This window comes from Homo sapiens, chromosome 15 (genome assembly GCF_000001405.40).
Source record: "Homo sapiens chromosome 15, GRCh38.p14 Primary Assembly".
Lineage (NCBI taxonomy): Eukaryota > Metazoa > Chordata > Mammalia > Primates > Hominidae > Homo > Homo sapiens.
This window is the reverse complement of record NC_000015.10, coordinates 41,492,226-41,515,580: the sequence shown is the minus strand read 5'-3', so window position 1 is coordinate 41,515,580 and position 23,355 is coordinate 41,492,226. Positions and strand designations below refer to the sequence as shown.

At 58.0% G+C, this 23,355-nt stretch overlaps 2 protein-coding genes across 16 annotated transcripts, besides 9 other annotated features; one reads left to right on the top strand and one right to left on the bottom strand.

The window, feature by feature from the left end:
• Window positions 1-1,753: 1,753 nt before the first annotated feature.
• Window positions 1,754-11,944, top strand: LTK (leukocyte receptor tyrosine kinase). Of its 14 annotated transcripts, NM_002344.6 has the most exons (20): window positions 1,754-1,914; window positions 2,461-2,604; window positions 2,703-2,874; window positions 3,316-3,466; window positions 3,618-3,764; window positions 4,003-4,159; window positions 4,235-4,417; window positions 6,452-6,550; window positions 7,360-7,512; window positions 7,924-8,019; window positions 8,291-8,486; window positions 9,576-9,666; window positions 9,804-9,868; window positions 10,051-10,180; window positions 10,276-10,373; window positions 10,517-10,609; window positions 10,707-10,808; window positions 10,941-11,075; window positions 11,149-11,239; window positions 11,337-11,944. In NM_002344.6, exons 1-20 carry the CDS (start codon window positions 1,872-1,874, stop codon window positions 11,583-11,585), a joined length of 2,595 nt encoding a protein of 864 aa, NP_002335.2. In that variant the 5' UTR covers window positions 1,754-1,871; the 3' UTR covers window positions 11,586-11,944. The 14 variants fall into 14 exon arrangements, 12 of the variants coding, with proteins under 12 accessions (NP_002335.2, NP_996844.1, XP_047288455.1 ...); NM_206961.4 differs by lacking the exon at window positions 4,235-4,417; XM_047432499.1 differs by lacking the exon at window positions 4,235-4,417 and having other exon boundaries at window positions 7,924-8,067.
• Window positions 2,175-2,922: an enhancer, noted in NCBI's record as "H3K27ac-H3K4me1 hESC enhancer chr15:41804857-41805604 (GRCh37/hg19 assembly coordinates)". NCBI's record gives its function as "activates a minimal SCP1, AML or CMV promoter by ChIP-STARR-seq in naive H9 embryonic stem cells {active_cell/tissue: H9 hESC(naive)}" and the evidence as "EXISTENCE:reporter gene assay evidence [ECO:0000049][PMID:30033119]".
• Window positions 2,389-2,468: a silencer, noted in NCBI's record as "silent region_6362". NCBI's record gives its function as "represses an Ori minimal core promoter by ATAC-STARR-seq in GM12878 lymphoblastoid cells {active_cell/tissue: GM12878}" and the evidence as "EXISTENCE:reporter gene assay evidence [ECO:0000049][PMID:35858748]".
• An 85-nt stretch (window positions 11,945-12,029) lies between the features above and the next one.
• ITPKA (inositol-trisphosphate 3-kinase A) lies at window positions 12,030-21,707 on the bottom strand. 2 transcript variants are annotated; one of them, NM_002220.3, is made up of 7 exons: window positions 21,165-21,707; window positions 14,022-14,118; window positions 13,730-13,946; window positions 13,380-13,584; window positions 13,078-13,179; window positions 12,722-12,793; window positions 12,030-12,618 (listed from the first exon to the last, which is right to left on the bottom strand). In NM_002220.3, exons 1-7 carry the CDS (start codon window positions 21,651-21,653, stop codon window positions 12,415-12,417), a joined length of 1,386 nt encoding a protein of 461 aa, NP_002211.1. In that variant the 5' UTR covers window positions 21,654-21,707; the 3' UTR covers window positions 12,030-12,414. The 2 variants fall into 2 exon arrangements, with proteins under 2 accessions (NP_002211.1, XP_047288415.1); XM_047432459.1 differs by lacking the exon at window positions 21,165-21,707 and adding an exon at window positions 14,215-17,416.
• Window positions 12,593-12,722: a silencer, noted in NCBI's record as "silent region_6361". NCBI's record gives its function as "represses an Ori minimal core promoter by ATAC-STARR-seq in GM12878 lymphoblastoid cells {active_cell/tissue: GM12878}" and the evidence as "EXISTENCE:reporter gene assay evidence [ECO:0000049][PMID:35858748]".
• Window positions 21,088-21,137: a silencer, noted in NCBI's record as "silent region_6360". NCBI's record gives its function as "represses an Ori minimal core promoter by ATAC-STARR-seq in GM12878 lymphoblastoid cells {active_cell/tissue: GM12878}" and the evidence as "EXISTENCE:reporter gene assay evidence [ECO:0000049][PMID:35858748]".
• Window positions 21,248-21,427: a silencer, noted in NCBI's record as "silent region_6359". NCBI's record gives its function as "represses an Ori minimal core promoter by ATAC-STARR-seq in GM12878 lymphoblastoid cells {active_cell/tissue: GM12878}" and the evidence as "EXISTENCE:reporter gene assay evidence [ECO:0000049][PMID:35858748]".
• Window positions 21,448-22,067: a silencer, noted in NCBI's record as "silent region_6358". NCBI's record gives its function as "represses an Ori minimal core promoter by ATAC-STARR-seq in GM12878 lymphoblastoid cells {active_cell/tissue: GM12878}" and the evidence as "EXISTENCE:reporter gene assay evidence [ECO:0000049][PMID:35858748]".
• Window positions 21,448-22,304: a biological region, named in NCBI's record as "H3K4me1 hESC enhancer GRCh37_chr15:41785475-41785975".
• Window positions 21,804-22,304: an enhancer, noted in NCBI's record as "H3K4me1 hESC enhancer chr15:41785475-41785975 (GRCh37/hg19 assembly coordinates)". NCBI's record gives its function as "activates a minimal SCP1, AML or CMV promoter by ChIP-STARR-seq in primed H9 embryonic stem cells {active_cell/tissue: H9 hESC(primed)}" and the evidence as "EXISTENCE:reporter gene assay evidence [ECO:0000049][PMID:30033119]".
• Window positions 22,305-22,805: an enhancer, noted in NCBI's record as "H3K4me1 hESC enhancer chr15:41784974-41785474 (GRCh37/hg19 assembly coordinates)". NCBI's record gives its function as "activates a minimal SCP1, AML or CMV promoter by ChIP-STARR-seq in primed H9 embryonic stem cells {active_cell/tissue: H9 hESC(primed)}" and the evidence as "EXISTENCE:reporter gene assay evidence [ECO:0000049][PMID:30033119]".

Here is a 23,355-nt window from a genome sequence, read left to right as displayed (position 1 = left end):
CCAAGAATCTGCATTTCTAACAAGTTCCCAGGTAATACTGATGCTGATGTTCAGAACAAACCACACAACCACAATTTGAAGAGCAGTGGCTTAAAGAGACTTTGCAAGGTAAATTCTGTGATCTCATAGTGTGATATCTAGTGTTAAGTAGGGCATAGAGACCAGGGTTTTTTTGTTTTTTGTTTTTTTTGAGATGGAGTCTCACTCTGTCACCCAGGCTGGAGTGTAGTGGTGCAATCTCGGCTCACTGCAACCTCTGCCTTCCAGGTTCAAGCAATTCTCTGCCTCAGCCTCCCAAGTAGCTGGGATTACAGGCACCTGCCACCACGCACGGCTAATTTTTGTATTTTTAGTAGAGACGGGGTTTCACCATCTTAGCCAGGCTGGTCTTGAACTCCTGACCTTGTGATCCACCCCACCCCCACCGTCCCCTTGGCCTCCCAAAGTGCTGGGATTACAGGTGTAAGCCACCACGCCTGGCTGAGACCAGACTTTTTACAAAATCACTGTTCTGTTTACACCTTGAATTATACTCAGACTTTACCAAGTAGCTAACTACTATAACTTCTCTTTTGAAGTATTTTGTATTAAACATAGGTCTCAGACTTTCAAGTTAGGATTTTTTTTTTTTTTTTTTTTTTGAGATGGGGCTTTGCTCTTGTTGCCCAGGCTGGAGTGCAATGGTGCGATCTCGTCTCTGCAACCTCTGCCTCCCAGGTTCAAGCCATTCTCCTGCCTCAGCCTCCAGAGTAGCTGGGATTACAGGCGTGCGCTACCACGTGTGTCTGATTTTGTATTTTTAGTAGAGACGGGATTTTGCCATGATGGTCTAGCTAGTCTCGAACTCCTGACCTCAGGTGATCTGCCCGCCTCAGCCTCCCAAAGTGCTAGGATTACAGGCATGAACCACCGCACCCGGCAAATGATCATTTAAGCAAATGATCGAAGACTCAAGACACAAAACTACCTGAAGGGAGTGGCTCCCACATTTGTAGGGTACCTTACAGAGCAATTTCCCTTCATATGATTTTGCAGGTGGTGGGGAAACTCTCAGGGCAGTTGTGGCCTGTGCTACATCACCCATTGACCAGAGGTGCCAGTACTAGTGCTCAAGATCAATCGATCGATCGGTCTACCTACCTATCATCTATTGACCTTCAGTGCTACTAAAAACACTCGGATCTTCTAACGTCTGGTCCAGTCTTTCACCCCATCACAGTGAGAGGCTGTGCACAGGGGTAACACAGGCAACGGAATTATATGAGGCAAACACAGAGATCCAGGTTTCTGGGAGTAGCAATGAGGTTCAGCCTTGCAGTCACAAAGGCACCACTAAAAGGCACAAGTAATGGCAGGTAATGAGGCCTTACTTGGAGCAGTTTAGAGTACTTCCCACGTGTGGTGACGCATGCCACACACTCACCACCACCACCACTGCCACAAATGAAGTGCACACTCCACTGCTCCTGTCCTCAGGAACCTGGAAGCCCCCACCTGGTGTCCGAGGTGTGGCTCCCACTTTAAGCGTGGGGCACCTCCTCTCCGGCCTCAAACCTACCGGAGCTCCCAGCAGGCTGCGGCACATCTGACGGCTGGAAACTAGAACCCCTGGGTGGGGACTCCTTAAGGCTCCTCCCGGAAGCGTAGGGACCTCGCTGCCCACACGCCCCTCCCTTTCCTCCTCTGGCGTCCTGGGGTCTGAGGTGGGCGTGGCCAGACCAGCTTTAGGTCCGGGGAGTGTCTCGCCAGCGGCAGCACACCCCTGTAAGTGGTGGCCAGGGCTGCCGTGGCAAAATGAGCTGTCAACTTTAGGTTGACAGGGGTGTGGCCGCGACCGCAAGGGCTTTTGTTGCCGGGTGGACCCAACAGGGATGGGCTGCTGGGGACAGCTGCTGGTGTGGTTCGGAGCCGCGGGTAAGTGCTATCTGGCGGTCAGGGGACCGTCCAGCCTGAGGCACTTTCCTAGGCTTGGGGGTGGCCGGTCAACAGGCCAGGTGTCAGTGGTTCCTCCAGAGGCCTCGAACTCTCACAGCCAAATTTCTCCGGTCCGTGCTTCTGGAGTGCGGGCCGAGAAGCGCCAAGTGCGTGCGAATCCCAGAGTCTGGATCACGCAGCTTGGGAAGGAGGAACATTCTTTGGGGTCTCAGCACCGCCTTGGGGCGGGGCCACCAATCTAAGTTGAGGAAAGCATTGGGGAGGCTGCAGGACCAAATTCATTGCGGCCCCTAAGTTATTCACTGGGAAAGGCGCTCGAGGAGAGAAACTGGCAGACCTATCAGCGCGCACCCGCGGGGCTTCTGCGACCGGAGTCGGGTAGTGGCTTCCAGGCTGAGAGCGCGGCTGGGCCGGGTGACGGGTGTGGCCGCGACCGCAAGGGCAGCTGTTGCGGGGTTCTCTCTTTCTTTCATATCCTATTTCCACCCGCCTTAACGTCCTGCGCCTTCTCCCAACACCTTTCAGGCGCCATTCTCTGCTCTAGCCCGGGGTCCCAGGAGACTTTTCTGCGGTCCTCGCCCCTGCCGCTGGCAAGTCCCAGCCCCCGGGACCCGAAAGTCAGCGCCCCGCCTAGTATCTTGGAGCCAGCCTCCCCGCTGAATTCTCCGGGTGAGCTTTAGACGCCTCCTTCCTCTTTCGCTCACCATACCAGACCCCTCTGGCCCAGCCAGGGGCTCGACGACCCTTGCCTCGCTCCTTGCTCTCAGGCACCGAGGGGTCTTGGCTGTTTTCTACCTGCGGGGCCAGCGGCCGGCATGGGCCCACACAGACACAATGTGACGGGGCGTACGCGGGGACCAGCGTGGTGGTGACCGTGGGGGCCGCCGGGCAGCTGAGAGGCGTGCAGCTGTGGCGCGTGCCGGGCCCTGGCCAGTATCTGTAAGTGCACGGCGGAGGTAGGGTGGACAGTGACCTGCTAGTTGGAGGTTTCACCCTCAGGGTAACGAAGTCCACGTGCGCACCGACTTGCGTCTTGGACTATTCCGCGGGGAGGTCCACCTTGAGTGCCCTTCAAGGTGGCAGTAGTCGCCACCGAGTTAGCCCTTACCCGGAACCTCTTACACCGAGCGGAAGGCCCCCAACCAGGGCGGCGCCAAGGGGTGCTTGAGCCTCCCCACATTTCCACGAACCCTCCTGAAATAAGTGTAATATCTGATTTTTCGGTGTGCAAACCTACCCTTCCCATCCCGTCAGAGTCGATTGCAGCCTCCAAGTCCCTCAGATAAAAAATAATTCTGGAGCCTCCTCTGTCGCCAACTTCTGCCCGGAGCGGCCGGCCTGAGCACCGAAGGCCGGGGACTCACCGTCCGTTCCCCGCAGGATCTCAGCCTACGGAGCCGCGGGCGGCAAAGGCGCCAAGAACCACCTGTCGCGGGCGCATGGCGTCTTCGTCTCAGCAATCTTCTCCCTCGGTCTCGGGGAGTCGCTGTACATCCTGGTGGGGCAGCAGGGAGAGGACGCCTGTCCCGGAGTGAGCGCAGCCAGTGGGGATGGGGCGGCGCCGGCGCCGGGGGCGAGGGCTGCCTGGGGGCCGGGGGAGCGTGCTTTCCTCGGTGCCGGGTCACCAGCACAGCGAGGGGAGGCTCCCGGGCCCCGCCGATTCCCTCCCCCGCTGCCCGCAGGGTAGCCCGGAGAGCCAGCTCGTCTGCCTCGGGGAGTCTCGAGCCGTTGAAGAGCACGCGGCGATGGATGGGAGCGAAGGGGTCCCGGGGTCGCGGCGCTGGGCGGGAGGTGGCGGGGGTGGCGGGGGCGCCACCTACGTTTTCCGGGTACGTGCTCCCTTCGGCGCTCAGCGTTGGGGTCCCAATCCTCTCCCCAGGGGCGCTCACGCACCGGCTCTCCGTCCGTCCCTTGGGGTCCCCCTATCCCTGCGCTGGGCTGGGCTGGCCTGGGCTGGGCTGGGGGCCCCTGCCCTTATCCAGGCCCCCTGGGCGGGAGCCCTCTCCCAGTGGCAGTGCCCCTGGACAGCTGGAGGGCGCTTCCTGGAACACGCCGCTGGCCCCACAGGTGCGCGCTGGCGAGCTGGAACCGTTGCTGGTGGCGGCCGGAGGCGGCGGTCGGGCCTACCTGAGGCCGCGGGACCGAGGCCGGACTCAGGCCTCCCCCGAGAAACTGGAGAACCGCTCGGAGGCGCCCGGGAGCGGCGGGAGAGGCGGGGCGGCAGGTGAGGGCGCGGGCCGCGGGGAGAGGCGGGCGTGCTCCCCGTGTGGCTGCCAACCTTCCTGCTGTCGCTCTGCAGGTGGTGGGGGCGGCTGGACGTCGCGGGCTCCCTCTCCGCAGGCCGGCCGCTCACTGCAGGAGGGGGCGGAGGGCGGCCAGGGCTGCTCCGAGGCTTGGGCGACCCTTGGCTGGGCCGCGGCCGGCGGCTTCGGGGGCGGCGGCGGGGCCTGCACTGCGGGCGGAGGCGGCGGCGGCTACAGGGGTAGGTGCACCGTTGGAGAGGGCAGCTGAGCAGGCCCGAGGGTGAGGTGATGTTAGAACCTAAGTACAGGCCGGAGCCCTCGGGAGGATAGGTGTGGGAGAGGCATTAAGCCCTGCTCAGCAGCTCCAAACAAAAAGCAGGAGCTCTTAGAAAAGGAGGTCAAATACACTGCAAATCAGCATGCAGACAGGACTCCCTAGATTTCCGTTTAATCCAGGATCTTTCCCATCACAGCAGGTCCCTGCCTTGTTCTGCAGCAGTCTTCAGAACTTAGAGCTGGCCGAGTGAGCAAGCTGAGCAAAGGGGCAGAAAGGCAGGATTGGGTTAAGTCAGTGGTTCTCAAAGTGTGGTCCAGGAACAGGTAATATCCCCACAACCTAAGTTGTTCGAAATGCACATTATCAGCTGGGCCTGGTGGCTCACGCCTGTAATTCTAGCACTCTGGGAGGCCAAGGCAGGTGGATCACCTGAGGTCACCAGTTCGAGACCAGTCTGGCCAACCTGTGAAACCCTGTCTGTACTAAAAATACAAAAATTAGCCGGGCGTGGTGGCGGGAGCCTGTAATCCCAGCTACTCTGGAGGCTGAGGCAGGAGAATTGCTTGAACCTGGGAGGCGGAGGTTGCAGTGAGCCGAGATCACTCCATTGCACTTCAGCCTGGGCGACAAGAGGGAAATTCTGTCTCAAAGATTAAAAAAAAAACAATGGAAATTATCCTGGGAGTTGGGGGAAGGTTGGGGAGATGCTGGTCAAAACAATGCAAAATGGCAGTTAAATAGGAGGAATACCTTCCAGAATCTACTGTACTACATGGTGACTGTAGTTAATGACGATGTATTCTTGAAAATCGCTAAGAGAGGCGGGGCGCGGTGGCTCACGCCTGTAATCTCAACACTTTGGGCGGCGGAGGCGGGTGGATCTTGAGGTCAGGAGTTTGAGGCCAGCCTGGCCAATATGGTGAAACCCCCATCTGTACTAAAAATACAAAAATTAGCCGGGCGTGGTGGCATATGCCTGTAGTCCCAGCTACTCGGGAAGCTGAGACAGGAAAATCGCTTGAACCCGGGAGGCGGAGGTTGCAGTGAGCCAAGATCGTGCCACTGCACTCCAGCCTGGGTGACAGAGCAAGACTCTGTCTCAAAAAAAAAGAAAAGAAAATTGGTAAGAGCGTAGATTATAGGTGTTCTTACCACAGAAAATAAGCATGTGAGGTGGTGTATATATTGGTTTGCATTAGCCATTGCACAGTGTGTACATATTTCAAAACATCATGCTGTATACAATAAATATATGAATTTTTTTTTTAGATGGAGTCTGGCTCTGTTGCCCAGGCTGGAGTGCAGTAGTACAAATCTCAGCTCACTGCAACCTCCGCCTCCCGGGTTCAAGCAATTCTCCTGCCTCAGCCTCCTGAGTAGCTGGGATTATAGGCATGCGCCACCATGCCCGGCTAATTTTTGTATTTTTAGTAGAGATGGGGTTTCACCATGTTGGTCAGGCTAGTCTCGGACTCCTGACCTCGTAATCCGCCCATGTCGGCCTCCCAAAGTGCTGGGATTACAGGCGTGAGCCACCACACCTGGCCCTGAATTTTTATTTTTAATTAAAAATTAATTTTTAAAAAGAAATGCGAATTCTCAGCCCTTCTCTAACATACTGAATCAGAAACTGTAAGGGAGAGTCCCAGTCATCTGTGTTTTGATCAAATAACTAGTGTAAATGCCTTTGTGCCTGTCTGGGCTGTACTGCTCATACATACACACATGATCTACATTCTCACAGAAAGGGACTGTGAGGACATGGGACAGGAGGGGCTCAGGCAGGCAGGAGGCATCCCAGCCAGCCTCAGCGAGGCCTTCAGGCTCCAGCTGATTACCCCCTCCTCACCTCCTTCACTCCCACTTGTGAACAGACAGCATTTGCATCATGATGCTGGAGAAGAGAGGGCCACACTGGGATTTCCACCGGGAGATTCCAGCTTCTCCCCCATCCCCCATTTTTGTAGTCAAACTCTCCATCACTCTCCACTTCCAGGGGGCGACGCTTCAGAGACTGACAACCTCTGGGCTGATGGGGAAGATGGAGTATCCTTCATACACCCCAGCAGCGAGCTCTTCCTGCAGCCTCTGGCAGGTATTGGCCCCAACCCCACCTCTGAGCCTGGCCTGGACTTCTTCCGCAGTCCCTGAGCCCACTCCTGCACTGCACTGAAGAGCCACCTGCACTGTGAATAACCTTGCATAGCACAGGATTCTTGCATAGCATAGGGTCATTTGAAAAGTGGGCTGTCATCATGCCATTGCACTCCAGCCTGGGCGACAAGAGCAAAACTCTGTCTTAAAAAAAAGGAAAGTGGGCTGCCAGTCGTGCTGGATGGCAATGCAGGGCATGCTGCGTGCTTTTCAAGTACCCCCTTGCTATGAATTCGCTTCAAATACCTGGGAGTGTGCAGGCTTGACAGAAGTCCCCCAGCTTCTCTCACCACCCTTGTAAGCTTGGTGCTGCTCTTTGCTCTAAAGTCCTGGGCTAGAATTAACCATGTGGCTGGAAAAGGCATGTATTTATTTATTTATTTATTTATTTATTTATTTATTTATTTTTATTTTTGAGACAGAGTCTCGCTCTGTCACCCAGGCTGGAGTGCAGTGGTGCGATCTTGGGTCACTGCAACCTCCGCCTCCCGGGTTCAAGTGATTCTGCAGCCTCAGTGCTGGAGTAGCTGGGATTGCAGGCGTGCGCCACCACACCCGGCTAATTTTGTATTTTTAGTAGAGGCGGGGTTGGCCAGGCTGGTCTTGAACTTCTGACCTCCGGTGATCCGCTCACCACGGCCTCCCAAAGTGCAATGATTATAGGCGTGTGCCACTGTACCCAGCCAAAGGCATGTATTTACTATATCCCAGCCCTACCACACCATATCATATCAGTTCTTTTACTCACAGTCACCGAGAACCACGGAGAGGTAGAGATCCGAAGGCACCTCAACTGCAGTCACTGCCCTTTGAGAGACTGCCAATGGCAGGCAGAGCTCCAGCTGGCTGAATGCCTGTGCCCAGAAGGCATGGAGCTAGCTGTGGATAACGTCACCTGCATGGGTATGTCCTACCTTTGCCCAAGGTCTGGACTCCTGGGGTCACAGACTGGGAGGAGCAGTAGGCCACTGGGAAAGATGGTATAGAGATTTGCTGTGTGCCAGGCCCTGTGGTGGGTGCTGGGCAGGGGATTGGAGATTCATCGGTGCACAGTGCCTTTCAGAGGCCTGTCGTCCAGTGTGGGAGGATGTTTAGATATAGCTATGTAAATGTATATCTCAAGTGACGATTGTTGTGGGAGGTATAAAGTGCTTTAGGGGTGTTCAAGAGGGAGAGGTTGCTTTTGCCCAGGATAATGGGGGAAGGCATCATGGAAAAATTAACACTTGAGCTGAGTCTTGAAGCGTGGGTAAAACTTGAGGGTAAAGGAACAGAGAAGACCTTCCCACTGGAGGTGTCTCTCTTTCTCCCTAGACCTGCACAAGCCCCCAGGCCCTCTGGTTCTGATGGTGGCTGTGGTGGCAACCTCAACACTGAGCCTCCTTATGGTGTGTGGGGTCCTGATTCTGGGTACGAAGCGTCTAGCAGGCACAGTTGATTCAAGGCTGCTCCTCTCCAGTGAGCTGGGATGGGTTTCTGCGGGGTCCCGGGGCTGACTTCAAGACCACTCACCGCAGCAGAGCCGTGGTAGACTCCTCTGGGATTCTAAGATAGGAAGGAGCTGGGGAGGCCTGGGGAAAACGTTTACCTTAATGAGCATCTGGAGGGGTGTCCTGGGCAGGTGGGGGAGGGAGAGTTGATGGGCAGGTGGAGGGTGTGCCGTTATTCTTCCCACCCCCAGTGAAGCAGAAGAAGTGGCAGGGCCTGCAGGAGATGAGGCTGCCGAGCCCTGAGCTTGAGCTGAGCAAGCTTCGAACCTCTGCCATCAGGACAGCCCCCAATCCCTATTATTGCCAGGTGGGGCTTGGCCCGGCCCAGTCCTGGCCTCTGCCACCAGGTGTCACCGAGGTTTCCCCAGCCAATGTTACTCTGCTCAGGTAAGTCTTCTGCCTCCTTCTGAGAACCTATGCACTCTGAATCCCCACCTCTGATTCTCTCCCTGCTGTAGTGAATTATAAGTCCCAGAAAAAATCTGGCCCACATCCCTTGTGTAAGGGAGAGGGAGGCCCTGAGAAGCTCCAGAAGGGGAAGTAACTTGCTCAATGTCACCTCTCCGTCCCAGTTCTTAGAATATGATCTCTCAGCTGGGCGTGGTGGCTCACACCTGTAATCCCAGAACTTTGGGAGGTCGAGGCAGGCAGGTCACCTGAGGTCGGGAGTTCGAGACCAGCCTGACCAACATGGAGAAACCCCATCTCTACTAAAAATACAAAATTAGCTGGGCATGGTGGCGCATGCCTGTAATCCCAGCTACGTGGGAGGCTGAGGCAGAAGAATCACTTGAACCTGGGAGGCGGAGGTTGTGGTGAGCCGAGATTGCGCCATTGCACTCCAGCCAGGGCGACAGAGTGAGACTCTGTCTCAATAAAAAAAAAATATGATCTGGCGCCTGTAATCTCAGCACTTTGGGAGGCCAAGGCAGGTGGATCACCTGAGGTCAGGGGTTCGAGACCAGCCTGGCCAACATGGTGAAACCCTGTGTCTACTAAAAACACAAAAAATAGCTGGGCGTTGTGGCGCTTGCCTGTAGTCCCAGCTACTCGGGAGACTGAGGCAGGAGAATCACTTGAACCCGAGAGGCAGAGGTTGCAGTGAGCCGAGATCGCGCTATTGCACTCCAGCCTGCATGACAGAGTGAGACTTCGTTTAAAAAAGAAAAAAAATCATGACTCTTGGAGCCCAGGGATTGCCTCCCGCCCAGGGCGTCTGCAGGGACCAGGGAAGTCCTCATCATGCACTCCCACCTTGACTCTGGCCCGCATCTGCCCTCTTTTTTGCCCTGGCTCTATGCCAGTGAGCACCACCCTTGCAGGGCTTCTACCTGGGGACATGCCATGGTATGGAGAGAGTCTATATAGGGTCAGCTGGGCATATGGCAGGGGCAGGGGAGGTAAAGGGGGTACTAGACTCTCTAGGACTCTTCTCCAGGCCGCCTGCCCACTCCCTTCCAACGTGTCTTCCTGCAGAGCCCTGGGCCATGGTGCCTTTGGGGAGGTGTATGAGGGACTGGTAATTGGCCTTCCTGGGGACTCCAGTCCCCTGCAGGTAGCTATCAAGGTGAGAGGAGTGGGACTTCTGGCTGGGGGTAGGAGAGCGGAACACCCTGAAGGGAAGGACAATGACTAGAGCTAGGGTTAACCCCCTCTCCTGAAGCGTGCAGGGCAGCTCAGAAACTGTGCCCTTTTCCTCCCCAGACCCTGCCAGAACTCTGCTCGCCTCAGGATGAGCTGGATTTCCTCATGGAGGCCCTCATCATCAGGTGCACCTGGGACCAGGGGCAGGGCTGGAAGGCGGGAGGGGAATGCCCGGGAACAGTTTCTCTTCACCCTGAGGCTGAGGTAGCAAGTCAGGGGACACAGAGGGCCTCTCCAGCTTTGTGGAGCCTAAAACATGGTTTCCGTCTCCCTCCTGGTAACGGGATATGTCCCCCACCCCACTCAGCAAGTTTCGCCATCAGAACATTGTGCGGTGTGTGGGGCTCAGCCTCAGGGCCACCCCTCGCCTCATTCTGCTGGAACTGATGTCTGGAGGGGACATGAAGAGTTTCCTGAGGCACAGTCGGCCACACCTGGTGAGACCCTTGTCTTAGCCCCCCCAGGCCCCTCTAAAGACCCTGTCCATGTGTCTGAGACCTACATGGACTGATGCCCCCTCTGCCTGACCCAGGGCCAGCCATCACCTCTGGTCATGCGGGACCTGCTGCAACTGGCCCAGGACATAGCCCAGGGCTGCCACTACCTGGAGGAAAATCACTTCATCCACAGGTTAGGAGCAGTCCTGGCTCAGGGGACCCCCATCCCAACTCCCTCCCCAAGGAACAGCCCTTCCACACAGCTTTTAAGGAAATAGATCAGGAAGAGCAAGAACTTCTAGATTCTGGCAGTGATTTTTTTTGCCTACTCTGTAGGGATATTGCCGCCCGGAACTGCCTGCTGAGCTGCGCTGGACCCAGCCGAGTGGCCAAGATTGGGGACTTTGGGATGGCACGAGATATCTACCGGTGCGGGACTTGGGAGGTGGGAAGGCTCTTGCTCCAAGGGGGTTTTCCCCGCACCTTGGTGGTGAACAACTCATCATTCACCTCCTCCCTCCTGTAGGGCCAGTTATTACCGCAGGGGGGACCGGGCCTTGCTCCCAGTCAAGTGGATGCCCCCAGAGGCCTTCCTGGAGGGCATCTTCACATCCAAGACAGATTCCTGGTGATAACACCCTTCCCCTCCCCTTCCCCACTGTTCCCCTCCCCTGAGGCTAATCCTGTCCTTTCCAGCCACCTCATGTGAGGGGAGGCTACACCTGACGGGCCTCACTTGGTTCCCCCACTTGTGATGCAGGTCTTTTGGGGTGCTGCTCTGGGAGATCTTCTCACTGGGCTACATGCCCTATCCTGGGCGCACCAACCAGGAGGTGCTGGACTTCGTCGTTGGAGGAGGCCGGATGGACCCTCCTAGGGGCTGCCCAGGGCCTGTGTGAGTTGAGTGCTGCCCGGGAAGGGAGGTCCTTCACAACCATGGGTGGGCATGAACTCCTGCCTCTCCCCAGGTACCGCATCATGACCCAGTGTTGGCAGCACGAGCCTGAGCTCCGCCCTAGCTTTGCCAGCATCTTGGAGCGTCTGCAGTACTGCACTCAGGTGTGCCCCCGACCTAATCTAACATCCTGGTCTTGTGGGTCAGGAGGGAGGGCCAGAAAACTCTATGCCCCCCTGCTCCCTGACTCTTCCATTACAGGACCCGGATGTGCTGAATTCACTCCTGCCAATGGAGCTGGGGCCCACCCCAGAGGAGGAAGGGACTTCTGGGCTGGGGAACAGATCTTTGGAGTGCCTAAGACCCCCACAGCCCCAGGAACTGAGTCCAGAGAAGTTGAAAAGCTGGGGAGGTAGCCCTCTTGGCCCCTGGCTGTCCTCTGGCCTCAAGCCCCTCAAATCCAGGGGCCTCCAACCTCAGAACCTTTGGAATCCCACTTATCGCTCCTGAGCCCCAAGGGGCCCTGAGGGTAAGGACTGAGGCACTGAGGGTCCCTCCCTATACTCCTCAGGCTCCTGGGTGGCCTGTTATGCCAGCGGCCTCTGTTCCCTGCAGTCTGTGCTGTGTGTCTGGGCCTGTCTCGGGGCTGGCCTGGCAGCGCTGCACTTGCCATGCTGGAAACCAGCCCAGGCCTCCCAGGGAAGGGCCCAGCCACTTCCAGCTTTTGATCTTGGGGCCAGAGGCCGCCTTACACACACCCCAGGTGTCCATGGGGAGCACTGGATTGCTCTCCCATTATGAGCATCCTTCATCTGGGCAGACCCCCCACCCTGCAGATGCTTCTAATAAAAAGCTCTTCTCATCCTCCAGCGATCTGTGGATGCCAGGGACCGGAACTGAGGAAGAGGGGGCCGGAGGAGGGAGGGGCTGAGGCCTGAGGCACAGGAAGCTGCATCTTGTCTTTGAGTTTTATTAGGAAGGGGAGTCCGTCGTGGTGTGAGACGTTAGACCGGAAGGTCTGGGCTTGCTAAATAAAATCCGCGGTCTGGCACCTCTGGAGAGGGCAGAGCCTCCTCAGAAGAGCTGGCCTGAGGAAGAAGCCCTTTGCCCCCTCCCCTTCTATAAGTTAGTGTCATTTGGCTCTGGGAACGCTGGGGCCCGGGTGGGCAAAACCCCTGGCATCGGCGGTGCCCCCCCTTAGTGGCTGGCACCTGGTCCTGCAGGACCCGGTGAACTGCCCTGCACCGCGGGGCTCCAGTCTCAAGCCGGCATGCACAGTGGGGACAAAGCTGCAGGTCCACATGTCAGGTGAGCGGCCCGCGGGGACAGGAGTCCAGCCTCATCTCTCAGCCAGGCTGGCCAGGATGCCAATGAGATTGTCCAGCCCCAGCAAATAGCCGTCCTCGCGGTTGCCCTCCTCCCAGGGCCGCCGGTGGTCCAGGATCTGGCCATCGGGGAGGGGCGTGGTCTTGCCGAAGTCGATGAGCCACACGCCGGCGCGATGGCAGTGATCGTGCACAAAGAGGAGCGAGCTGCCGATCACCTGCGAGCCCCGCACCGTCAGGCCGCGGCCCTGCCCAGAGACGCCCTTGCCGGGTTCCCGCCCTAGCCCTCGCGGCCCGGGCACCCGGGCAGCCGCCGCTTACCTCGTGCCTCCTGAAGAACTCGGATACCTCCAGGGTGTCCCGGATCTGCTGCAGGCGGTTCAGATACCGCCTCTGCAGAGGGTGGGGTGGGAGAGGAGGGCAAATTAACTAAACGCCAAATGAGCCCCTGCTAACGATGAGGAGCCGGGACCCACGCTGTGCTTGGCAAATGCCGCCAGGAGGAGGACCCAGGGCCCCGCCCAGCGTGGCCCAGAAGGGAAGGAGCGTAGAGCAGTTGCGAGCCAGCGCGGTGAGGGCCATGGTGGGGACACAGCCGAGGGCACTGGGCCAGATGACAGGGGCAGTCCTCGGCTTCAGGCTCCCCAACACCTCAGGGTTTGGGATCCCGCTCTCACCAGCACTTCCTCATCTCCTTGCACAAACTCTTCAAAGACGCGAAGCACCTGCTCTCGGCTTCGCGTAGTCTTGAAGTCGGTGCTGCAGGAGCCGTCCGCTTTCTGGATGTGGGACAGGAGTGTCAGGGGCCCCGGGCCCGCCAGTGGGGAAGAGGACAGCGTAGAGCAGCGGTACCTCCCAGTTGCAGGGGACGGCGAGGCGGTGGGAGAGGGCGGAGGGGCAGGCGGGGCGGGAGCGGGGGATCGGGAAAGACAGCGCGCAGTGGGGCTGCGGCGGTGCCAGCGAAGCGCGCCTGCCTCACCTTGATGCCCTCGATGCGGAAGCCGAGGGTGGTGCTGGAGCTGATGCCTTCCCGCCACTGCATGTAGCGCGGCTTGGTGACGGCGCGCTGCGCGTGCTCCTCCTCCGTGGGAGCTTCAGGATCCACCGCCAGCATTTTCTTGTACATGTCCTTCCGCAGCTTGGGCCGCTCACGGGCCTTGGTCAGCTCCTCCTCTAGGTAAGTCCTGTGGGGGCGCAGGCAGCGGCCAGGGCATGAGGGGGCGCACACGGAGACCCCTTCGAGCACTCGCCCCGGGTCCCCCTCAAGCAGCTGTCCCGGCCCCGGACCCCTACTTGATCCCCCCAACCGACCTGGCAGGGCACGCATACCTGACGCCCATTTTGCAGTCGAGCACACAAGGTCCGTCGAAGCCATCGAGCAGGTCCTGCAGCTGCAGGTAGCTTTCGCCGTCGCGCTCCACCACGCCGTGGAAGGCAGGCACGCAGCCGCGCAGCGCGTCAGCCATCAGCCGCGCCAGGCAGTAGCGCTCCGGCTCCGAGCAGCGCTTCAGGATCAGCCCGCTGGTGCCCGCCGCCTTAAAACTCCCTGAGGACCGGCATCCGTCAGCGCCGCCCAGCCCCTTCCCGTCGCGGGCACCCGCCCACCCGCCCCACTGCTCACCAGTGTGCCCTGCCAGCTGCACCCAGGCGTAGCGCTTCTTGAAAGGGCTTATGACCGGCAGATTGACCATGGTCCGGATCTTCTGCCAGTGGTTTTTCTGAAAGCGACAGGGTCAAGGTCTGATAATCGGCGTCTCGGCAATGCATAAGCCCTCCCTCCACTGAAACAGGGTCTCGCCACGCCCCCGACCCACCGGAAGCAGCTGGGGCTGGATGAGTCATTAATTCATTCATTCACTCTGGGAAGGTTTATTTGTGCGCCTGTGTGGCGGGTGCTGATACAGGCGCAGTGAAGGTGATTCCAGCGTCTCCAGTGAGCTGTCAAGAGCCTGGACTTAGCATCTGAAGCCCCCGGTTTGCGCTCCAGCTCTGCCACTGAAGAACGCGTGGGCAGGTTACGAAAATGCTCTGTCGAGGTTTTTGAACTGTTGTGAACATCGGAATTACCTGATGGTCACCCTTGTTAAAAATTGCAGATTATCAGGCCTACCGCAGGGATGTTCTAAGTTGGTCTAGAGTAGGGCCATTTTTTTTTTTTTTTTTTTTTTTTTTCAGATGGAGTCTTGCTCTGTCACCCAGGCTGGAGTGCAGTGGCGCGATCTGGCCTCACTGCAACCTCTACCTCCCGGGTTCAGGCGGTTCTCTTGTTTCAGCCTCCCGAGTAGCTGAGACTACAGGTGCACACCACTATGCCCGGCTAATTTTTTGTATTTTTAGTAGAGACAGGGTTTCACCATATTGGTCAGGCTGGTCTCCAACTCCTGATCTCAGGTGTTCCACCCACCTCAGCCTCCCAAACTGCTGGGATTACAGGTGTGAGCCACCAGGCCCGGCCCCCCAAATTTTTATTACTACCAATGCCTCAAAAGATTCCAGGGCCCAAGAAACAAGCCTCTGTGCATCTGTAAGAAAAAGATCTATAAAATGAGGAAATAACTATCCTTACTGGGTTGCTGTGAGTAGTACATAAGGCTTAAGCATGATAGGCGCCCAGCTCCCCCATCCCATTCCATGGTATGAGGCAGAAGCTGAACAAATCTCAATCACTGATTCCTTCACTCAGGACCTTGGTTCCTCTCATTTAGGGAGACAGACATACACAGAAACAAACCTGTACACAGGCCCAGGGCAGGAAGGCCAGCCTGGCAGGGCCTGGAGAAAGAACAGGGCTGGAGAAAGAAAAGGCTCTCCAAGCCTCTCTTGCTATCCCTGGATTCTATGCACTCATTAGCTGGCAAGGCCCAGGGCACCCTTGGTTTTTATCTGGACCTAGAAATCTTAAGCCATGAAAATAAGATGCCGGGCTGGGCGAGGTGGCTCATGCCTGTAATCCCAGCACTTTGGGAGACTGAGGTGGGCGGATCACAAGGTCAAGAGATCAAGACCATCCTAGCCAACATGGTGAAACCCCGTCTCTACTAAAAATACAAAAATTAGCCGGACATGGTGGCATGCGCCTGTGGTCCCAGCTACTTGGGAGGCTGAGGCAGGAGAATCGCTTGAATCTGGGAGGTGGAGGTTGCAGTGAGCTGTGATCGAGCCACTGCACTCTAGCCTGGCAGCAGAGTGAGACTCCGTCTCAAAAAAAAGAAAAAGAAAGAAAATAAGGTGCAAACCTGAGGGCCTGTCAACTTAGACAAACCTGGGAAGGAGACGAGGGTTGTTTTTTGTTTTTTGTTTTTTGTTTTTGTTTTTTTGGTGTGCCCCTTATCTCTTCTAGCCTCCAGCTAATCTTGAGAGCATCCCATCCTCTGGACCTCTCCTCTTACCACCCGCAACTCGGCAGCCCTGTGTCCTCTCTGAAGTACACAGGTTGGCTCATGTCAACTGTGTCTGCCGCCTCCCCACAGAGGCACTTGCCTTTTAGCACAGTTACACATGTTGTACCCCCAGAGGAATACACCTCCCTGACAAGAGGGAGTTCTAAGAGGGAGAGAGAGAACTGAGGAGGTGGCCTAAGTAGAAGAGGGCTGCTGACCATAAAGCCCTTTCCCATGGGGAGGAGATGGAAGTTATGGTAGAGCACTGGGTGGGAAGTCAGTAGTTGGTTCCAGTCATGGCTGTGTCACCTTCCAGCTGAGTGAACCCAACCAAGTACTGCCATCTGTGTGGGCCTGTTTCCCCTGGGAGGACATAGCTGCTGCCGTAACACGAACCATCAAATGCTACCTGCCTATTGCATGTCAGGCACTTTCTCATCTTCCATCAGGCAGCATTGCTCCCACTTTCCTACTGAAGCCCTTACATGGCACACTAGGGTGTGATCACGTGCCCAATCCCCAGGGATCTGGGGGTGTAGCCAGAAGCAGCCCACTAGAAGCATGACATCACTTTCAAAACTCCTTTTAAAATCTTTAAATACACACCAGGTTTGCATTCTGCTGCATAATAAATCCAAGTTTTATTATAAAACTCACCACCTCCAAACCCTCAAGTAAAATTCCAGGAAGATGATGTATGTGCCATGTATATTCAGCAGCACCATCCTGTACCCCCTTCTCCCACACTCAGTTTGAGAGCCATAATGAATGCACATGCATAGCAAGTGCGTGAAGTGGTATCATTCCCATTTTACAGAAGGAAATCAAGGGGAGTTACATCCCCTCATGCCCTGCCTCCAGCCTCCCAATCTCTGGCTGAAGCTATCAGCCCATCCTCCCTCCCCAAGTTCCAACTGCCCCAGCAGGTTCCAAAGTATCCCCAGCAGGATGCTACCATCCTGCCTCCCTTTGGGGGTTAAATGGGATGTGGCCTGAGAAAGTGCTTTGTGCGTGGTGAAGTGATGTGCAGCAATAAGGCAGTCTGAGTTTTGACTTCTGGGGAACACTGAGACCTGCCTGGGGGCCCTTCTCTACTGGATGGCCACCTTTGCCTTTATCCAAAAGAATGAGTTTAATGGCTGTAGGGACCTGCTAGAAGAATTTAGGGGATAGTGGGACCAGAATGGACTTAGTGAAGAGGAAACTTGCCTTGGGTTAGGCAGGGTGAGGGAACTGAACCATCCTTTTAGAACTGTGCAGAAACAGTGAGGAGGGCTGGCAGGTGGGCCTGGCAGAAGAGGATTTGATGTGTGTCTAAAAACCTGGGCTACTACCATTTGATTGATGGACCTGCTCCCAAGCAGGGGTAAAATGGTGTCATCACCTACTCTCTTGACCTTGGTTTTCTGCATCTCATAAGAATCAAGAGCAGCAGCAACTAAGGCCAGTCCTAGCTAGCAGGTTACAAAATACTTTTTTTTTTTTTTTTTTTTTGAGACAAGGTCTCACTCCCATTGTCCAGGCTGGAGTCCAGTGGTGCGATCACAGCTAACTGCATCCTGGACTTCCAGGGTTCAGGTGATCCTCCCACCTCAGCCTCCAGAGTAGCTGGGACTACAGATGTGAGTCACCATGCCTGGTTGATTTTTTGTATTTTTGTATGTATGTATGTACATATTTATTTGAGTGGTGCGATCTCGGCTCACTGCTACCTCTGTCTTCCAGGTTTGAGCGATTCTCCTGCCTCAGTCTCCTGAGTAGCTGGGATTATAGGCGTGCACCACCAACGCCTGGCTAATTTTTATATTTTTAGTAGAGACGGGGTTTCATCATGTTGGCCAGGCTGGTCTCAAACTCCTGGCCTCAAGTGATCTACCTGCCATGGCCTCCTAAAGTGCTGGGATTGCAAGTGTGAGCCACCGTGACATTTTTTTTGTATTTTTAGTAGAGACAGGATTTTGCTATGTTGCCCAGGCTGGCCTCGAACTCCGGGGTTCAAGTGATCCTCCCGCCTTGGACTCCCAAAGTGCTGGGATTACAAGTGTGAGCCACTGCTCCCAGCCTACAAAAGATTTTCATACCTATTATCTCATCTGAGTCCTCCGTCCTACCACCTGAGGTTGCTATGACAGGATTTAGCCCCCCTGCCAGTAATGGGTATGGCCAAGCATGGCAGGAGTTGTGCAAGTGTCATGGAACTCAAATCACTGCCACCTTCCACCTTAGGGAGATACCTCCCCCAGAGAACATCACGCTTTTAAAAATGAATGTAAGCCCAGGCGCGGTGGCTGACACCTGTAATCTCAGCACTTTGGGAGGCCAAGGCAGATGCATCACTTGAGGTCAGGAGTTCGAGAGCAGCCTGGCCAACATGGTGAAACCCCATCTCTATTAAAAATACAAAACTTAGCCGGTGTGGTGGTAGGTGCCTGTAATCCCAGCTACTCGGGAGGCTGAGGCAGGAGAATCGCTTGAACCCGGGAGAAGCTTGAACATCCTCTGGCTCGGGCCTCCCTCCATGAAGGTGCCCTCTCTGGGAGACTAACACACAGCCAGAGGCTACCTGGGTATCTTGAGGCAAAGGCTAGGATTGCTGACTGTGTGAGAGACTTTAATGAAGTCACAGGAGGGCCCTCTGATAATTCCTCACTCCTAGGGCTGAACAGGGAGTACCTCTCTCTGGGCAGGGCTTGGCTGGATACTAGCCTCAGACCCTCCTTTGTCTAAGCTCCATTCGGAAGCCTTGAAGACACCTGCTCATGCCAGATACACAGTGTATCTTCTGCTGGAGCAGACCAGCAGGTGGGTGAGTGCTCTGTCTTTGGCACTCACCCTTGCTCCCTGCCTCCAGTCATCCAGGCTCTGGTTGAAGCTCTCTACCAGCCCAATACCCTCCCCATGTTCCAATTGCCCTATCAAACTAGCACTCCCTGTGGTCGTGGTGGTGGGAAGAGCAATCAGTTTAAATTTATAAAACGATTTGCACTAAGGTATAAGTGACCCACGACTTCACCTTCCCATGGGCATTAGCTGTTTAAAAAGGAAGTCTGTTAACCTAAATTCTGCTCTATAATTAGTGGAAAGCGATGTGTGGGAATTCTGAGTCCAGGAGGGGATGGCATCCAGGTCTCCTTACCTATCCTGGAGCACAGAAAGAAGAAAACCAGATGAACAGGAGCCAAACACCCTCTCTTTTCCTCCAGCAATACCCCACAATTGTTTGAGGAGGCAGGCAAGGCCATAGAGTCATGCAGCTGACCTTGCGGGTGGGCCTCCAACTTCTCCCCTGGCTGGTTAGGAAAAGCCTGCCTGTGACTTTTTCCTCTGCCGGAGTGAGGCTGCCCAGTTTCAATTTCCCTGCTCTGGGCAGGCTGGAGAGGGCTCCTAGGAGGTGAAGGGGACTACGTATGCCCCAGGCAGAGAGGTAGGCAGGCAGGCAGGCAGAAACTTCCTGGGCTCCGGCCTGCCTGGGCCGCGCGTAAGGGGCTGGTAAGCCGGGAGTCCTAGAGTCCGGCCCACGTGCATCCTTCACGGTCAGCCGGACCAGCCTTGCTTCCTGCCTGGGGAAGCCCTAAATTGGCCTGGGCCGGCGCGCTGTGCGGCTCTGGGACCTGCGGCGAGGCAAAGTCCGCCCTGGGCCCTTCCACACGGACTCAGGCAGCCTCTGTCAACAGCCCCTGGCTTATCTGCCGCCGCTGTGGCTGTTTGACTTCGGGGAGGCCCCGGCGGGCCTGGGGGTGGGGAAGGCCTGGAAGCCGCAGCCTTGGAGCTGGAAGGGCCCTCAGCGGCGATTTGCACCGGCTCCCGACGGCTCGGAGGGCGGCGGGGTCGCCCAGGTCCCCGAGGCTTGACCTTAGCCGGGGCGGTCTCTACACCCAGGCTTGGGCCGCAGGACCTCCTCCTAGCGCACTCCCTCTCCCAGGCACTTCGCCGAGTCCCTGCGGGCGGAAGAGGGAAGCGGGACGCGCCCGCGCTTCGCGCCCTTTCGCCTGCACCGGCTCTCAGGTGTCAGAGCTTCCGCGCCCCGGGAGCTGCTGCTCAGGCTTTTCCGAAGAGGCGGGGCGGGGGGCCTCTCACTGCCCCACACTCCACATCCTGGGAAGCCCCGGCATCCGCCCCCCGACCTAGGCAAGGGTTACCCCAGAAACGATCCTGGGTCCGGGGCTGCTCTGACCACCGGGGAAGAAGGGGAAGCGGCAGGCTAGTGACCGAGCCGGCGCACCCAGCACCTGGCGGCGGGGGGTGTTCCTGCTCTGTGAGGCTTTTCCCCTCTGGTGTCACTGACAAACCCCATCGGCCTCCGGGCTTGTGAACCCCTGCAGGTCGCCACAGCTTCCCTGCCTTGTCCCAGCCGATTGTGCGGCGGAGCAGGCGCGCGGCCACAGCTCTCCCCGCCCCGCCGCGCCGACCCGGACTTATGGGCAGGCCCCAGACGCCCGAGGCCGGGGGCGCCCCTCGCCTCTTCCTCGGCCTCAGGGACACTTGCGAAACGTGGATCTAAAGAAAGTCCTTCGCGCTGACCACGGACAGTTATTCAAGGTATTTGGCCTTGGTTAAAACGAGGGGAACAAGGAGGGTGTCCCGGGAGCCGCACATCCCTAAGTGGCGGGCGTCAGGAATGACTTAACAGTGCCCAGGGCTGTGTTTTCCGAGGGTCAGACCTGGTCCCAGAACACCCAGGCTATCAGAGGCAGAGACTAGCAGAGTGATCCTGCCCCCTTGCAGCCTCAGTTTACCGCCCCTCTCTGCCGCGCTCAGGAGCGGCGAGCCGGGAAGATGGGAGGCAGGGCGCGCACTGGGTGGGCTGCGTTCCGCTCCCAGCCAGAGCTCCCAGGCCCACGCCCCTCCCTCCCCTGCGTCCACGCCTCGTGCGGGCGCTGGGAGCAGACGGCAGCGGCTCCCGAGCAGAGCCTGGAGCGCCGCTCCACTCCCACTCAGGAGAGGGAAACCGTGGCAACGGCGGGGGTGCGGCCGCGGCACCGGAGAGGGGGCGGGGGGTAAGGGAAACTCTCCTTCGCCTCTCTCCTTCCGAGGGTTCACCCGGCAAGGCTCAGCCCCTCCGATCCCTCCTGTCCTAACCCACAGCCAACAAGGTCCGCTACCCCCGCTTCGCCCAGTCCCCGCGGCGGGTCGCCTGCTCCTCGCCCCGCTTCTTAGACGCCCCAGGGCCAGCGCCACGACCCGCCGGCGGAGCCGAGGTGAAAGTTGCCCAGGCGAGAGGTCGGCCAGGCGCCTCCCTCTGACCCCCAGATTCCTCCTAAACCGCGAGAACAGGACCTTCCGCTGGAGGGAGCATGGACAGGAGCGGGTCCTCCGGGAGCACCCAGCCAGGTCCCCCGTGCAGCCCCCGCGCCCGGCGCTGGCCCCGCCCCCGCGGCCCGTACCTGACCCACGTCCTCGCCCGCTTCCAGCTGCACGTTGCCGCGGCTCCGGCTCTCACTGTCGCTCAGCAGGTCGTCCTCCGAGTCCTCGAGCAGCGACGAGGAGCCAGTGGAGGAGACCGACGAGGTGGAAAGGCGGCGCGGCTGCTGCAGGTGCGAAGAGCCCGCTGCCGGGAGGCAGTCCCTCTCCCGCTCCGGCGGCCCAGGGCTGGTCGGGGGCACGTCGGGCTCCTCGGCTGTCACGGTCAGCTGAGGGATCACCGGGGCCGGGGGAGCCCGCGGAAGCCCGTTGGGGACCTGTCCCCCACGCCGCTTGGCCCCGCGGGCCCGGGGCTCCCCCGCGGCGGCGGCCGCAGCGACCGCCGCACAGCGCGCCTCGAAGAGCAGGCGCAGCTCCCCGACACTCCGGCGCGGGGCCCGCTCCAGCCCCGGGCTGCAGGGCCTCGCGCCCCCCGGCCGCGCCATGCCCGTTGGGCCCCCGGGCAGGGTCATTTCCCAGTGCCGGCGCCGCCGCTGAGCCCACCAGCCCGCGGCGCGCCGGGGACTGGAGCGGCTCGGCGCCCCCGGCTGGAGACGGCCCCGGGGCGGAGCCTGCGCCGCTGCACGCCCGCGCCCCGCCTCGGCCGCGCCCCCCGCCCACTCCTTCCACTTTCAGAGAAAGCGCGGGCCTCCCAGGGCCCCTGCGAGGGAGAGAAGGCTCTCGGTGACTCCTCGGGGTGGCGGGGAAGTCCAGCCTCCGTAGGCACAAAACCTGGGCCCGGGCCCCGAGGCTTCGCTCCGCCTGCCCTCGGGGAGGTGGGAGGGGCCGCTCCGCGCTGGGGCCTCGCAGCCTTCCCGGGCTTCGCGGCTGGGAGAGATTCCTCCAGGCCGCTCCACAGGCCCTGTCCCCGCGCAGGAGAAGCTGGTCCTACTCTTGGTCCCCTACCCCGTTCCTCGGGTTCCTTTGCGTGTTCATCCCTCCCGGGCAAGGGCTTCAAGTCTCGGGGCCTTTCTCCGGCCCGAGCTCCTGAGCAGAGTTGAAGGCCCCCGGCTTCCCGAAGAAGCCCCACCCCAGGGCGTGCACCCAAGTGGAGACTCTGCCCCAGGGACTAGCTGAGGCTGCTCCCCGCAAGTTCCCCACTTCCCGGCGGGCAGAGAACAAGGTCAGGGGGCGGGGCCTGGATCTGTCCCCATGGCCCAGCCTAGTCCCGGGCTGCATCTCCCCCGCTGCTGGGTGGCAGGAGCTGAGCCCGCCTTCCTCCTCCTCTGTTATAGGAGCTCGGGGCTTGGAGTCCGCCGTGTGGCGTTCAGCAAGTCATTTCACCTCCCTCGACTGCGGATTCTCCCGTTGCTGCGAGAATAAAATAAAAGACTTGAAATCAGGTACACCACACTCTAGATGTGATTTGTAGGCAGTCCCTTTACTCCCTCCGTATATTTCTGCATTTGTACATTTAGAAAAACCTCATCCAACCCACAGAGTTGTGTCTGTAAAACTAGGAAGACAGCACTGATGTTTAAGAGTTTCAGACACTGCAAAGTGCTTATCAGTGTCATTCCATGTGGATCTTCGGCCACTTCCCATGTTGGTAGTCAGCTGACCGACCGGCGAGGCTGCTTTGAGGAGAAGCCACTGTTTCCTATCTTACCATAGTGCCACAGGAGTGAGGGTCCCCCCTCAGGCACTCAGTGTCTGGGGATGGCTGGGGCCCTGGAGACAGAGCAGCCCCAGAAGGATTGCCTTGGATGCTGAGATGGCCGCAGGAGGGGCTTTCCTTCCCTTCTCTCCCCTCAGCCAGGGCTCAGGAATGGCCCAGGAGAAGGAAAGAAGAAGGTTCAGTGGGAAGACGGGAATCTTCGGCAAAGCATAGTGGCTCAGGCTTGTAACCCCAGCACTTTGGGAGGGCAAGGCGGGCAGATTGCTTGATCCCAGGAGTTCGAGACCAGCCTGGGCAACATGGCAAAACCCTGTCTCTACTAAAAATACAGAATATTAGGCAGGTGTGGTGGTGTGCACTTGTAGTCTCAGCTACTCGGGGAGAGGCTGAAGTGGAAGGATCACTTGAGCCTGGGAGGTCGAGGCTGCAGTGAGCTGAGATCACCACCACACTCCACCACCACACTCCACACTCTAGCCTGGGCAACAGAGTGATAACTTGTCTCAAAAAAAAAAAAAAAAAAAAAAAAAAAAGCTGAGTGTGGTGGCATGCACCTG

Coding starts and splice junctions, on each gene's coding strand:
- LTK (NM_002344.6), top strand. CDS start 1,872: ATGGGCTGCTGGGGACAGCTGCTGGTGTGGTTCGGAGCCGCGG. Junction 8,020..8,290: donor GTGTGGGGTCCTGATTCTGG/GTACGAAGCGTC, acceptor TCCCACCCCCAG/TGAAGCAGAAGAAGTGGCAG. Junction 9,667..9,803: donor CCCTGCAGGTAGCTATCAAG/GTGAGAGGAGTG, acceptor TTTCCTCCCCAG/ACCCTGCCAGAACTCTGCTC.
- ITPKA (NM_002220.3), bottom strand. CDS start 21,653: ATGACCCTGCCCGGGGGCCCAACGGGCATGGCGCGGCCGGGGGGCGCG. Junction 14,119..21,164: donor CGGGCGAGGACGTGGGTCAG/GTACGGGCCGCG, acceptor TGTCGCTTTCAG/AAAAACCACTGGCAGAAGAT. Junction 12,794..13,077: donor AAGGAGATGAGGAAGTGCTG/GTGAGAGCGGGA, acceptor CACCCTCTGCAG/AGGCGGTATCTGAACCGCCT.